At 38.9% G+C, this 14,096-nt stretch overlaps 1 protein-coding gene and 1 pseudogene across 24 annotated transcripts in view; both read left to right on the forward strand.

Moving 5' to 3' along the window:
• The window catches only part of MED12L (mediator complex subunit 12L), a 350,990-nt gene that overhangs the window by 92,358 nt on the left and 244,536 nt on the right, over nt 1–14,096 (forward strand). For all 24 annotated transcript variants that reach the window (XM_017005676.2, NM_001393769.1, XM_017005678.2 and 21 more), the window contains 3 exons: nt 7,309–7,440; nt 10,333–10,459; nt 12,696–12,910. In XM_017005676.2, coding sequence (XP_016861165.1) covers nt 7,309–7,440; nt 10,333–10,459; nt 12,696–12,910 — 474 coding nt within the window. The remainder of the gene's footprint in view (nt 1–7,308; nt 7,441–10,332; nt 10,460–12,695; nt 12,911–14,096) is intronic.
• On the forward strand, nt 10,078–10,202 carry RNA5SP145 (RNA, 5S ribosomal pseudogene 145; annotated as a pseudogene).

Raw genomic sequence — 14,096 nt, forward strand, 5'->3', positions numbered from 1 at the left:
TGCTTACATTGTTCAACTTCTTACTATTCGTTAGAAAGTGCCACAAGAATGGCTTGAACCTGGAAGGTGGAGGTTGCAGTGAGCTGAGGTTGTGCCACTACACTCCAGCCTGGGCAACAGAATGAGACTTGGTCTCAAAAAAAAAAAAAAAAAAAAAAAAAAAGAAAGTGCCAATATGAAAAGCTGCCTGTTTCTGCCCCATGAAGACCTGAACCCTCCTTTGTAGTGTTTGGAATGAAGTACTTCCTTTTGGTTATTCTCAGTGGTGCACCTCCAGGGTGGTACCTGAGCCTTCCTAGTGTATATTTAAAGCCAAAAGCTGGAAATCTAATAGCCACAAAGCTGTGTTGTGAAATGTGCATGTTACATAGGAGTAAATATTCCAGCTCAAAAGGGAGCAGAATACTCTGAGGCTGTGTAAGCATTGAGGAGGGTGGAGTCAGGAGAAGCCAGAGGTGCTGGGGGCTCACACAAAAGGCCATTGTGTATTGTGTACGCTGGAGGGAAGGACAGAGTTACCTACCCAGGTTCTTTTGACACACAGGTTTTGCTTTACCTGTTTGGTTCATTTCCACGAGTTATGTTGTGGGAAGAGCTCCATTACTTAGCTGAGTGACCTTGGACAAGTTATTTGCTATCTCTATGCCTTGCAGTTTCCTTATTTGTAAACTGGGGATAATATAACCAGCTTATAGGTTGTAAAGATTGAGAGAAAGAATTCCTGAAACACATTTATTGCAATGTCTGACTGTAAATTGGGTAGGCACTCAGTACATGTTAATTATCTTTATTACTACTACCTGTAAATTTGGTAATCTATCATCATTATTGATTTTCAGTGTGATTAAACCCATAACTTAATCTGCAAGTTATTTTATATTAAATTTTCATTAGAAGCAACTGAAAAGATTTACATGTAACATTAAGACTTTCAATTTTTTATTTTTATTGTGTCTGCTATCAGTCCTATGACTTTAGTCCATGACTAGAATAAGCAATAAATACTGTAGAAAACCTATTCTAAAAATGAGTTTTTGGCTGGGCGTGGTGGCTCATACTGGTAATGCCAGCACTTTGGAAAGCTGAGGTGAGCGGACCACCTGAGGTCAGGAGATCTAGACCAGTCTGGCCAACATGGTGAAACCCCATCTCTACTAAAAGTACAAAAATTAGCCAGGCGAGGTGGCACCCACCTGTAACACCAACTACTTTGGAGGCTAAGGCAGGAGAATCGCTTGAACCCAAGAGGCAGAGCTTGCAGTGAGCCGAGATTGTACAACTGTACTCTAGCCTGGGTGACAGAGCCAGACCGAAAAAAAAAAGGGCGGGGGGTTAATCATAAGAGAAACATATACTTTATTTGGTCAGGGCTGGTCTAGACCTTTGGCATCTGAAATGTTTTACAGGACATTGCACCTAATGAGTACCTGATGGAGTGAATTTTGTTTTTCTTATGTCCAAAGAATTGCCTGAAATTTTCACTGCCTCTCACAGCTCCAAATGCAGACTATAACAATAAAGCTGAGAGGATGGGGTACTGTAATTACCCCAAGAAGGGGAAGGAGCAGTAGGGGTACTGCTCCTGGAAGAAGGAAAGCATGGTGAGAGACACTGTCTGAGGGCTGAGAACGACCCCTCTTGGATAGGACTTGGGATTTACTGCTGGTCATGCACCATTGACCTTCCTTTTCCTGTGTTCCTTTGGAAGCCTCTGCCATCTGCCCTTATCTGTATGTCTTTAATCAGACATTGAAATCTGGCCCATTAGCCTGCAGAAAAAATGGAAATAAAAACAAACCAAAAATTTTCATAGTTCCATTGCTGAAGACATTCAATCTGAGAAGTTAGTATAAGTCATTGTAAAACTTCTTTGATAGTATCATTTCTTTTAAAGTAGGCGCAGAAGCTGTCTATTCCTTTATTCCCACCACTCTAAATATCCTAAGGAAAGGATGGCATCACTTGGCAGGTTTTATGATATTTAAGAAATAGTGGACATTGCATTCTTGGTATCTAGCTAGTATTGGAAAATATTTATTGGTTAAATATAAGATTTTGAAATGCATAACTTTTTATAGGCATAATTGATAAAAGGACAAGAAAATTTTTGTGCTGAAATTTTCTATTTTTTAAAAGCTCAGTCTTTTCAGCAGCATTTTCCTCAAGGTTTTAATTTCTGGGTTTCTTAATTCACTTAATTTCTAAAAATCAGAAATTGGGACTACAACTGCAGCAGGTAGTCCACAGGAATTTCTTCAGGTTGAGATCTCAGATGTCAGTAAGTTGGGACAGATGTATGCTCCCCTCCCAGGAGATACCGAAGGGGTGGAAGGCTAGACTTACTTATTCCTCCACTCTAGAAATGTCTTGTTACTTTATGATTACTTGTCTTTTAGACGTTTCTCTCTAGAAGGTGAGCATTTTGAGGATAGGGACAAGATCTTTAAAATTTTTGTTTCCCCATGCCTACCGTATTATGGGCACTTAAAAAGAAAGCACATTAATGGGTACTTTTGGAAGTGAATTGACTTCCTCTTGGAACCTGTTTTCTATTTCTAGCACATTCTGCCTCCCAAACCCCAGTGGTGACATCTGGATGTGTTCAAAAGAACTCTTTTCTTTATGTGTGCTTTTCTATGCATCTCTAGGTGAAGACGTGTCAGTTACTTAAATTGGGTGAGTCAAATCATTGAGAGACAAGTGTACCTTTCCATATTCATTGGATTTTTATGAATCTATTTTAGGAAATTATCAAGGACCCAACTCTTCTGCACAGACTTGGAATTCCAGTGGACATTTTGTAAATTTAATTTCCTTCAGTGCACAGTATACACATAGATACAATGTTTGCTTTATTTCACTACATTGTTTAACATGTAAGCAACTACCCTATTCTTCTTCCAAAGAATCGACCAGTTTCTCTAGTAAATTGTTTTCTTTGCAAGTCATTTTTATGATTAGTAAAAAAATTCTTTCCTAAATGATTTTAAATTCTTAAGTGATTTTACTTTTAAAAGATTAAAAAAAAAACACTTCTGTTTTCTCGGTGGTTAAGTTTGCTGGCAATCTTTTTTTAAAGCCATTTGGAGATTTGTCAAAATCCTAGGCTTATTTCATATTTGGAATCAGCATCTAAGGTTATTATGTTATAGATATTTTTTAAATATGTATTTTATCTCTTTGGTATTAAAAATAATATATGTTCGTTTAAAATTTGGAATATATGCAAAAGTTTAAGTAAAATGAAAGTCACATTGGTGGGTATTTTATCTCAAGCATGTTTAGAAATGTAAAAGTGAAATCTATTCTTTTAAAAATAAAAATTGGTAGTTGTAATTTCAGCTCATCATTAGTGCTTTTATATAAATGTAGAAATCATTGCCATGTCTTTCCTTCCATTTTTTTTTTTTTAAGACACAGGGTCTGGCTCTGTTGCCTAGGCTAGCCTCGAACTTCTGGGCTCAAGTAATCCTCCTGAGCTCAAGTAATCCTCCTGCCTTAGCTTCCCCAGTAGCTGGGGCTACAGGTGCATGCCACTGTACTTAGCTCATTGTCTTTTTTTTTTTTTTTTTTTTTTTTTTTAAGATGGAGTCTCACTCTGCTGCCCAGGCTGGAGTGCAGAGGCATCATCTTGGCTCACTGCAGCCTCGGCTTCCTGGGTTCAAATGATTCTCCTGCCTCAGCTTCCTGAGTAGCTGGGACTACAGGCATGCGCCACCATACCTGGCTAATTTTTGTATTTTTAGTAGAGATGGTGTTTCACTATGTTGGTCAGGCTGGTCTTGAACTCCTAACCTCAGGTGATCTGCCTCCTTTGCCTCCTGAAGTGTGGGATTATAGGCGTGAACCACCATGCCCAGTCTGTCATTTGTAATAACCATTTCTGGCAGTCTTAAAGGAATAATTTTGCTCATTTTATGTAGCATTGTGACCTTGCAATAATAACTCAGTGGAATAAAGACATGAAAATGTAAAAAGAACATTTTAATTTAGCTAAATTATTTTTTTTAATGAGGTAAGTTAAAGTTGCTTGAGATGACAAGACACCTAAAGGAGTGAAGATTATATGAATTAGGAGAGAAAAAATGTCTCTGCTTATTTTCTTTGCATCTCCAGGAGCATTATTTAGAGATTAGAGCAAGCTGATTGAAAATTATTGTGAATGCTCTAGATGTTATAACAGTGCTTCCTTATTTTACTTTTTAAAATTCGTTCAGACTGCTGTTGGATGTATGCCATAAGATAAACCCAGTATTTGCCCTAAATTAGAATGAGTTTTTTTTTTTGTCATTCATAGGATTTCTGTAAGTGGGCCTGCTGAGTGGCTTTATTCATGATGTTCCCACCTAAAATCCTTGTTTACTAGTGAGAGAATGCAGACAGTAAAATTATAAATAAGTGAAGAAAACATTTTCAGATAGCAGCATTCACTGCTAAGCAAATGAAATAGCATGACGTTTGCAAGGGTGGCCAGGGAGCCTCTGGTCAGCCTGAATCCTCCAGATTTTAGGGCAGATAAGGGGCTGCTCTGTGAAACTCGGGGGTAAGGAACGCACTGGAGGGAAGGGGCTGCCAACACTGAGGCCCGAGGTGGAGGTGGGCTTAGCATGTCTGAGGGGCTCAAACTGCAGTGTAGGTAGAATGTGGCTGGGGAGAGAGAAGGACTCTCAGCTTTCTGGCCTGAATGGTGATGCCATTTTCTAAGAGAAAGTTCACAGGACAAGAAATGTATTTGAGGGGTAAGATGAGCTTAGTTTGGGATCAGGTGATTGTGGTCAGCAGGTGGAGGTGCCCAGGGAGCGGATGGGTTTTAGTAGCTTAGGGGTGAGTTTGGGGCTGGAGGCATGGGTTTAGCTTGCCTCTCATTACAGTTGGGATAACTACTTCCAGGTTTCTGTAAGGGTAAAATGAGATCATATGTATAAATAGGGCAGAACACAGTGCCTAGCACATAGTTGTGTAAGTGGATGTTATACCCCAAGGCTTCAGGAGAGCATATGATTTCCACTATGTTTAGATAGGTCTTTTCTGTCCTTTACATTTTTTTTCTATTTATCAGAAATCTGATATTTTTCCTCCAAGGCCCAATTTACATTTTTTTCCCCAAAACAAACAGTGTTTTTCTTTTGCATGATAAAAGCAGAAAATAAAAATCTCCTGTAGTCCTCTCTCTGGATAAAACCCTAGTTAACAGTGTGACTATATGAAGGTTCAAGACCATGCCTCTCGTAAAACCTTCCCTGGATTGTCCCTGTGGATGTGCAGTGTATAGAGCCTCTTATTCTGCTCTGTGTTTGCTGTTTCCTTCTTATCTCTTGAGTGTAAGCTTCTTAAGCAAGAAAATGTGCCTTCCTATCCCTAGCAGCACTGAACGCTCATGCACATTATGGGTGCCCAGATGAGATTTGTCTTTCTCCTGCCTTTTCAGAATCGTGTGTGCTGTGTGTACACCGTGCTTGGTTTGCTGATCTTCAGAGTGTCGTGTGTGATGAGTTTGTGTTTGTTTTCTCAGAGATGATGTGGGCACACTAGCTGTTGTTTTGGTTTATAAAAGGGATGTGGTAATGTGATTTGTTTTGACTTCTCTTTTGTTGTAGTTTATTCAGTAGATCTGAAGAAATCTGTTCTCCCACGTAGGTGTTGAGACATTACTGATCACATACAGTTCTTCTATATGTCTCCCTAATTTCACATAGATATTAAATCTCACATAAAATCTTCAGTGGGAAAAGAAGTTTTTAAATTTTAAAATCACCTGTTTCTTGTAGCACATTTTAGTGTAATCCTGAAGATGCAGGAGAAAAAAAAATCTGTGTAAATGTGGATATGAAGCATATTACTGCTTAGATTAATAAAAACTGAAAGCAGTATTTTTAGGGTAACTCTTTTTGTTATCTTTAATATTCTAAACCTATAAGCATGTGGTCCTTCACTGGATTGACTTTTATATTTTTATGTTCATATAGGTTAGAGTGAATCTGGGCAGAAAGTCCTCCCAGTTTACTTTCTGTTTTAAATGTTATGTTCAAACATTTCTTTCAATTGAGTTACTTCTCTTGTTTTAAATTAGGAAAACAGAGCTCCCTTTGAGGTATCTGCCTCAGGTAACTCATTTCTTTGGTTTGAGTAACCATGTGTTTAAATGACAAAATTTAGGGTATGATGAATAAAAATCTTGGAATAAACTGATTTTCATGATCTGAATTGTTTGCTAGCATCTACAGCTGATCAGGGATACTTATTCTGGGATTCTTGGATGGCTTTTCAGACTGCACAGACATTCCGAAATGTGCTAAGTTCATGCATGTATGTATGTATGTTCTTCCATGGCGTGTGCTCATAGCCATATCGTAATCTTAATTGAGTTTATGGATTCTACAGTATTAACTTCCTTCATAGCCTGTAGTGCTAATGCTGCGATTATCTAGTTTTTCTGGCATCATGTTTATCCCCATGGGGACATATTAAAAACTTGTAGTTGATGTCCTATTGGTTGGCGTGGACCCTCTAAAAGGAAAGGACAGATCACACGGAAGTACCATCTCCCCGCTCACCACTCGCTGCACCCCTATCCGCGACTCATGTCATTTGGGTCCCCAACATCCTCTCATCCTCAGTCGCTGGTGCCTATTTCTAGGCCATGACAACTGTGGCTGACAGTTCTGGTCACCATGCTGAGCCCTACCTAGACCCGGCTGCTGTCCTTGGTTGACTGTGTCTGCCCTTAATTGTTGGTTCGTTTTGGTGCTGGGCTGTCATTTTTCGTGTTTGTTATTTCCATTGGGACGGGTGTTTTACCAGCGTTCCAGCCTCCCCTCTGGTTTGTTCCTTCTAATTTTGTATTGGAGTGGGTCACTGGATAACCTGGCTTGTCAGAATTATTTATTGTATGAGGCATTGAGTGAGTGGGGGGCCTGAGGGTGCCAACAGTAGAGTGATGTACTTTGACTTTGTGACAGCTGTTCTTGACAGTCAGTGGTTGTTTTTTTCCCTTACTATTTGGTTTTGAAATTTGAGTTCTAGAGGGTAGCTGGGGCTAGGTTATGTCCCTGTGTAAGTGAAGGCATCCACAGGGAAGCTCTAATTCTTTTGGAATTGTCACAGATTCAGCATAAGTGATTTCTTTCCTTGTATAGGTTTATTTTTTGTATTTCAATTAAAAATGTTTTGGAAGCGCTTTCTAAAGCTACTATAATAAAACATGGAAAAAAGCTTTAAAGTGTTAGATATTCCCTTGCTTGCTTCCTGCCTCTTGCTGGGTGAATGTTTCATTTGATGTGGCTGGTACCCCTCTCTGTTGGTCATTAGGTTGCGCCCAACGATGAAGCTGTGGTGACGCTGTTATGTGAATGGGCCGTGAGCTGCAAACGGTCTGGCAAGCACAGGGCCATGGCTGTGGCAAAACTCCTGGAGAAGAGGCAAGCAGAAATTGAGGCAGAGGTAGGTTCCATTTTCTTTCTGCTTGTTGAATGCCGTAATGTAAAAATACTGTTTTGGGGAAGATCATTTTCTCTTACCCTCATTATGTTATTCTTTTGCTCTTGAGGAAAAAAGGGAGGATGTAAAAATTCACATAAGGAAGATTCTTATAGTAGAATCTCTCTAAATTGATGCAGCCATTTATATTCTGGACTAATTTAAAAATGGTATCTTTTAAAATAAAACTTTAGGCTGGGCACAATGGCTCACACCTGTTATAATCCTAGTTTTTTGGGAGGAGAAGGCAGGAAAATCTCTTGAGCCCAGGAGTTTGAGGCTGCAGTGAGCTTATGATGGTGCCACTGTACTCTAGCCTGGTTGATAGAGTGAGACTCTGTCTCTAAAAAAGTAAATAAATAAAAGATAAAATAATACAATTTTAGCATCTGATTTAGAACAAAGAAATTTCTTTGCTATATTGAAATATGCGTACACAAAACATACACACACATGTGCAATATACATGTGCACATGTGTATAAGATATACCAACTTTTATGAAATTTACAACTACATATTTTAGTGGATTTGGATATACTTTCTTGAGGCAGTTATGATTATGATATTATAAATACCAATTTGTATTGCTTTTGAGATTATATTCTGGCCCCAGAGAGAGCAATTAAAGCCTTGGAAGTAAATTATAAGGGAAAAAGCAAAACTAAGTTCATCAACATTAGCTTTTGTTGAGGGAAATTTTCTAAGCAGGCCTTCCTTTCTGCCTGTGACTGTTAGCAGGGATGGCTATGGGGAATGTGTGTATATCATCTGACCAGGTCCTTGTCATCTCTCACCTGGCAACTTTGAGGCATCTTACCTCATCTCTCTGCTTCCTCTACACAGCAACTGCCGATCTTTTCGAAATGTAAATAGATCGCATTGTCTCCTTACTGATACTCTCTGTGGCTCCTGACTGTAGCCTTTGCAGCATCTCCTGAGCTACCTCACCTGCCTTTTCCACCTCATCTTGTGCCCTTCTCCCCAGGGTCACAGCTCCATTCACCTTGGTACTTCTACTCCTTCAATACACAAAACACACTGTCACCTTGAGGCCTCTGCTCTTGTTGTTCCTTCTAGGTTGCAGACTGTTCCCCAGTCTTTGCATGGCCAGCCTCTTCCTGGCATTCCCATCTCAAGAAGTGTACCTTCCTTTCCAGCATTCCTAGCTCAACATGTGGCACCTGGGGAAGGTCTTCCATCACCACGTGATCAAAGTTAACAGCGTTCTACCCCTCAAGCACTCTTTCTCACGTCACTGTTTTTACTTTCCTTGTTGCAGTGCACATTTATCTAGTTAATCTGCTTATTGTTTAATACCTACCTTCCCCCTCTAGAAGGTGAGCTGGACAGCAGAAAGCTCACTCATCTTGTTCAGTGTTGTGTCCTTGGCACAGAATAGTGCTCACTGCATAGTAGATGCTCAGGAGGTATTTGTTGCATGACTGGATGAGCCTTAGCTGGCTCTCTGTGTTGCTGATATTACACCTCCTTCTTGTGAAGCTAGTAAAAATGAAATAGGAAGAACATTTTATAGACATTTTTCTCTTCCTGTTAGGAAAGTTGTATTCACCAAAAACGAAAGATCATATTGTTGAAACTGGGGCTTGAAGATATTAATGTTAAGGTGTAAGCTAAATGACCTATTGAACAGTGTGCAAATTAGGAAAAGCCTTTCATTGCTTTTCTTCCATACATTGTGAATAGTTGGACTATTCTGTGGTGAATTGCAGTCCATAAACTTCAGCAGCTAAAATGAAATTTCCCAAATATTTCATTGCTCCTTCTGTATTGCATATGTGTTTTTTTACACTGCTTTTCTCCTGCCTCTATTCCAGACATACAAACATACACATTCCACTTTTAGAAGAGGTTCATATATAGATTACCTTGTAATTTTAATAGCCTAAATGTATCTATATCTAAAAATGTATTCTTTCAGAGATATTTAAAATAATTGATTTTTTGTTAAACATCACCATCTTTAAAATTTGACCTTCACAAAGAGAAAATAGATTGGAAAAATAATGATATTCTTAACATAATTAGTATCTTGATATTAAAGAGTAATGAAAATGGGAATGATCAAAGGAATATAACAAAGAATAGAAAACAAGGTTCTGGTCCTGTGTAAGTTCTGTCTTTAAGAAAATAGAAGTTAAATAACTTCCCTAGAGGTACTTCATGAACTGTGGACATTCCCAGAGGTTCTGAGAGATCTTATTGGCGGAATGTGATGAGTAAGTGAAAGAATATTGTTAGGGGAATTATGTTAGCCTTCTCATTTGATACCATGTTTCTCCAAAAACACAAATAAACCCTTCTGACAAAAACAGTTCAATAATATATGCCCCAATATTTTCCAGGGAGAATACAGTTAAACATGAACTATTTAAAAATGAAGACAACCTCAAATTATTTTTAGCAATTTTGCATAGGGATAATGAATAGTTTGTTGTACCATAATATATTTAGTGGGCACTCATGTAATACTGTGCAGAGTTTATAGTTCACATGAATAAATGTTTTTCAGGGGTGTTTTTGAAATCCTTTGAGTTGTTCTGGGGTAGTTTTTTCCAACTTTTAGAAATTATATTCACCTGTCTACGGCCATACCACCCTGAACGCGCCCGATCTCGTCTGATCTCGGAAGCTAAGCAGGGTCGGGCCTGGTTAGTACTTGGATGGAGAAATTATATTCACCTGAGGTGCATGGTCCCTTAAATAAGTACAGACATATCAATTAATTTTACATGTTTTACCTGAGCACTTAAATGCCAATAAAAAATTAACAAATTCATGATCTGTTATGACTATACTTCTGTAATTAACTTTGTTATTTATTTTTAATCTGTAGAGATGTGGTGAATCAGAAGTCTTAGATGAGAAGGAGTCTATTTCTTCATCCTCTCTTGCTGGATCCAGTTTGCCTGTTTTCCAGAATGTGCTGTTAAGGTTTTTAGATACACAGGCCCCCTCTTTGTGTAAGTAGAGAAAACTCTTTGCCTCTAGATCTTAAATAAGGGATTGATTTTTTTTTTCTGATTCCTTTTTTAAAAATTTAGATCTTATTTAATATTCTTGGCACTGAATATAATGTATGTTTTACTGAGCAAAATTTTGTGGCATGTTTTTTCATGGAGACTTTTAGGCAATTTTAAAATCAGTCAAGCTTCAAAGACTTTAAAATAATTGTTAAAAGTCACCTCACTCCTTCATGTAAGGAAGTAAGGTCTTGTGACATTTGTCTGTATATTGAATGTGATTTGGAATTTTCTCTTTTTTAGTAGTTTTCTGTATGTCTGATTTTCTAGTTCCTGCTCTTAAACATGGGAGTAGGGGGGAATCAAGCAACAGTACTCTATAGCCAGAGGCATGGTACAAGGAAGTAATTTATAGATGCCTAGCTGCTTCTCTACACTCTCTGGGATGTTTATGTCATCTCAAGCTCTTTTTTTTGCCTTTTTAGTGAGGAGTTGAGGGTTTCTGAAATAAACAGCCACCCAGTGGGTTCAGACTGTGGGTGAACACTTTTGAAATATTTTGTGAGCTATGTAGGCTTGAAATTATTCTGAGATTTTCATATGACAAAATGCAACAGGGAGGATCTTAAGGTAACAGAAAAATGGCAAAAAGTCAAAAGCAATAGAAAGAGGGAGAAAAAGGTTGGGGAGGAGGAAGATGCTTGTGAAGAAAGAGGTAAAGCAACAACAAACAGTACTCTTCTGAGTCCTCTGAGGAGGGGCCTGAGTGAGACCTGCAGGTGAGGTTCTTTGAGACAAAGGGCTCTCTCAGTTATTTGGTGGCTTCCAGGCTAGAAGGAGAGCAAGCACTGGAGCTAATCTAGTGGTTGGAACATAGGGAGGAGTAATTCATGGAAAAGGAAGCAGAAAAGTGAAAGGACTGAAGAGATCCCTGATAGCAGAAAATATATTGTCAGGCATGAAGTTAGCAGTTGTAACTTACCTTGTACCCTGGGGGAGACAGACATTTGCCCTTTGCTTCCCTCGTTTCTTCCCCATTCTTGTTCTCTCTTTAGGAAAAACTCCTTACTCCTGTGTCTTTGCTAGTTCATCTCATTTACTGTCTGTCAGAAAAAGCTGATCTGTTCCCTGAAAGAGGCTGCTCATCACCGAGTTTGGTAGTGAGCAAGAGGAAACATTTAGGTTCAAGGTTTAGGGAACTGAGCTTAATGTTCCTTGGATAAATGTGTCTCCTATTGGTGTTTGTGAATGTGATGGTACCAAGGATTGAGCTTTGCAGGTTCATCTTACAAATTTTGAATCTTATCTTAAAGGTGTAGTCACAAAACTTTAGAGTGCAGTGACAATATTGAAAGTCATAATGTGAGTTAAATAGGCTAGTTATGAATAAAAATAATCTGCAGAGCTCCATCTTTGTGTTCTTTTTATTCAGTTGTTCCTTTTTCTTTTCCGTGGATCCTGCTTACATTTTTTTCAAACACCATTTAAATTGTGGTTCAATTGTAAAATCTCCTTTGAAAATGTGCACCCATATTCTCACAATTGCACAGACCCACTCAAGCTAGAAAAAGCAGTCATGAACTGTTTTATTAGTAAAACCAGAGGACGGCAGTCTAGTCCTGCTGTCTTTTTTTCTGATCCTGAAATTTTGCTTTTTTACATTAGTACTTGAATGGGTATTCAGGACTACTATCTTTTTTTTTTTTTTGAGATGGAGTTTCGCTCTTGTCGCCTAGGCTGGGGTACAGTGGCACGATCTTGGCTCACTGCAACCTCCGCCTCCCGGGTTCAAGCGATTCTCCTGCCTCAGCCTCCCGAGTAGCTGGGCTTACAGGCACCCACCACCATGCCCAGCTAATTTTTGTATTTTTGGTAGAGACGGGGTTTCACCATATTGGCCAGGCTGGTCTCGAACTCCTGACCTCAGGGGATCTGTCCACCTCAGCCTCCCAAAGTGCTGGGATTACAGGTGTGAGCCACTGCACCCAGCCAGGACTACTATCTTTAAACTTGTAATCATGTTTACCATACTGGATATTTTTCAGTTATGGTGGGACAATCAAAACCTGCCTGTCAGTTCTGCCCAAAATGCTAGTGCCTCAGTAAATCTTCCAATAGATCTTTTTTTTCCCCAGAAAAGTTGATTGTGAAAAGTAATGAAAATATTAAGCCTTAGTAATTAGTTTTTTTCTACCACCTGCTCAAGGAATTCTTGATTGAATTTGTTTCTCTATAGCGGACCCAAACAGTGAATGTGAAAAGGTGGAATTTGTGAACCTGGTGCTGCTCTTCTGCGAGTTCATCCGCCATGATGTCTTCTCCCATGACGCATACATGTGTACCCTCATATCTCGAGGAGATTTGTCAGTCACTGCCTCAACTCGGCCGCGGTCACCAGTAGGGGAAAATGCAGATGAACACTATTCAAAGGACCATGATGTGAAAATGGAGGTATGGCCCTGGATATGATGCCCCACTCCCCCAGAAACTAAACTCTACTGGGAACCATGTTCAAATGGGTCATGTAGTGGTAGAAGAGTGATGGCTTTTTGTTGTATTCTTTTGCCCCAGTGGTTGTTTATCTCTACTTCTCGAGCAGGAAAGATATTTACACTGTAGCTTCTTATGTCTTCCAGAATTTCCCTTTGGATACTATAAAACTGTAATGAAAATAATCTGACAGGCCATAACATTTTTCATAGGATTGGAATTATATACTTTCAGTTCTAGATGTTTCTAATCTCTAGTTTTTCTTTAACATTGTGTCTCAAAACTGGACTTGTTTTGACCTTTAAGTGTCAGCTGAGTTTTCATTCTAAGAATCGTCTTTTCCCTAATGTATCATTCATTACTTATATCACTCTTTTATTCATAATGGGAAATTCTTTGTTAGTCACAACACATATTTTCATTTCAGTTAATTAAAAGTTTAATCTCTGTTTCTCAAATGTTGTAGAAGTGTCCTTTTCAACAAATTATTTTATGCTATGAGTGTGACTTTATAATTTTCTGCCAAATTCTGGTATTTTGGATATTGTTCCAGATACTTACTGAAATTTTCAAGGCAAAAAAGATGGAGGTGGTGATAGGAAGTTATAGAAAATGACGAGAACTTGAGACAATTGCTTAAAAACTGACAGTTTAGCCTGGGCACGGTGGCTGATGCCTGTAATCCCAGCACTTTGGGAGACTGAGGCGGGCAGACCACCCGAAGTTGGGAGTTTGAGACTAGCCTGACCAACATGGAGAAACCCTGTCTGTACCAAAAATACAAAATTAGCCGGGCGTGGTGGCACATGCCTGTAGTCCCAGCTACTCAGGAGGCTGAGGCAGGAGAATTGCTTGAACCCGGGAGGTGGAGGTTGCAGTGAGCCGAGATTGCGCCATTGCACTCCAGCCTGGGCAACAAGAGCAAAACTGTCTCAAAAAAACAAACAAAAAAAAAAAAAACACCTCACAGTTTAGGCATATACCATTATTATTTTTTAAAACAGTAGCTATACTTACAATTAAAAACCTGGTATTAGAATTGCAAACATGGATTCATAGTTCATACTGTTAAGGCTTGTTTTCAAAATGGTGTCGGGTTAAAAATATTTAAACATTTGTCTTAATTTATTGACAGTAGCAATTACAA

This window comes from Homo sapiens, chromosome 3, assembly GCF_000001405.40.
Source record: "Homo sapiens chromosome 3, GRCh38.p14 Primary Assembly".
Lineage (NCBI taxonomy): Eukaryota > Metazoa > Chordata > Mammalia > Primates > Hominidae > Homo > Homo sapiens.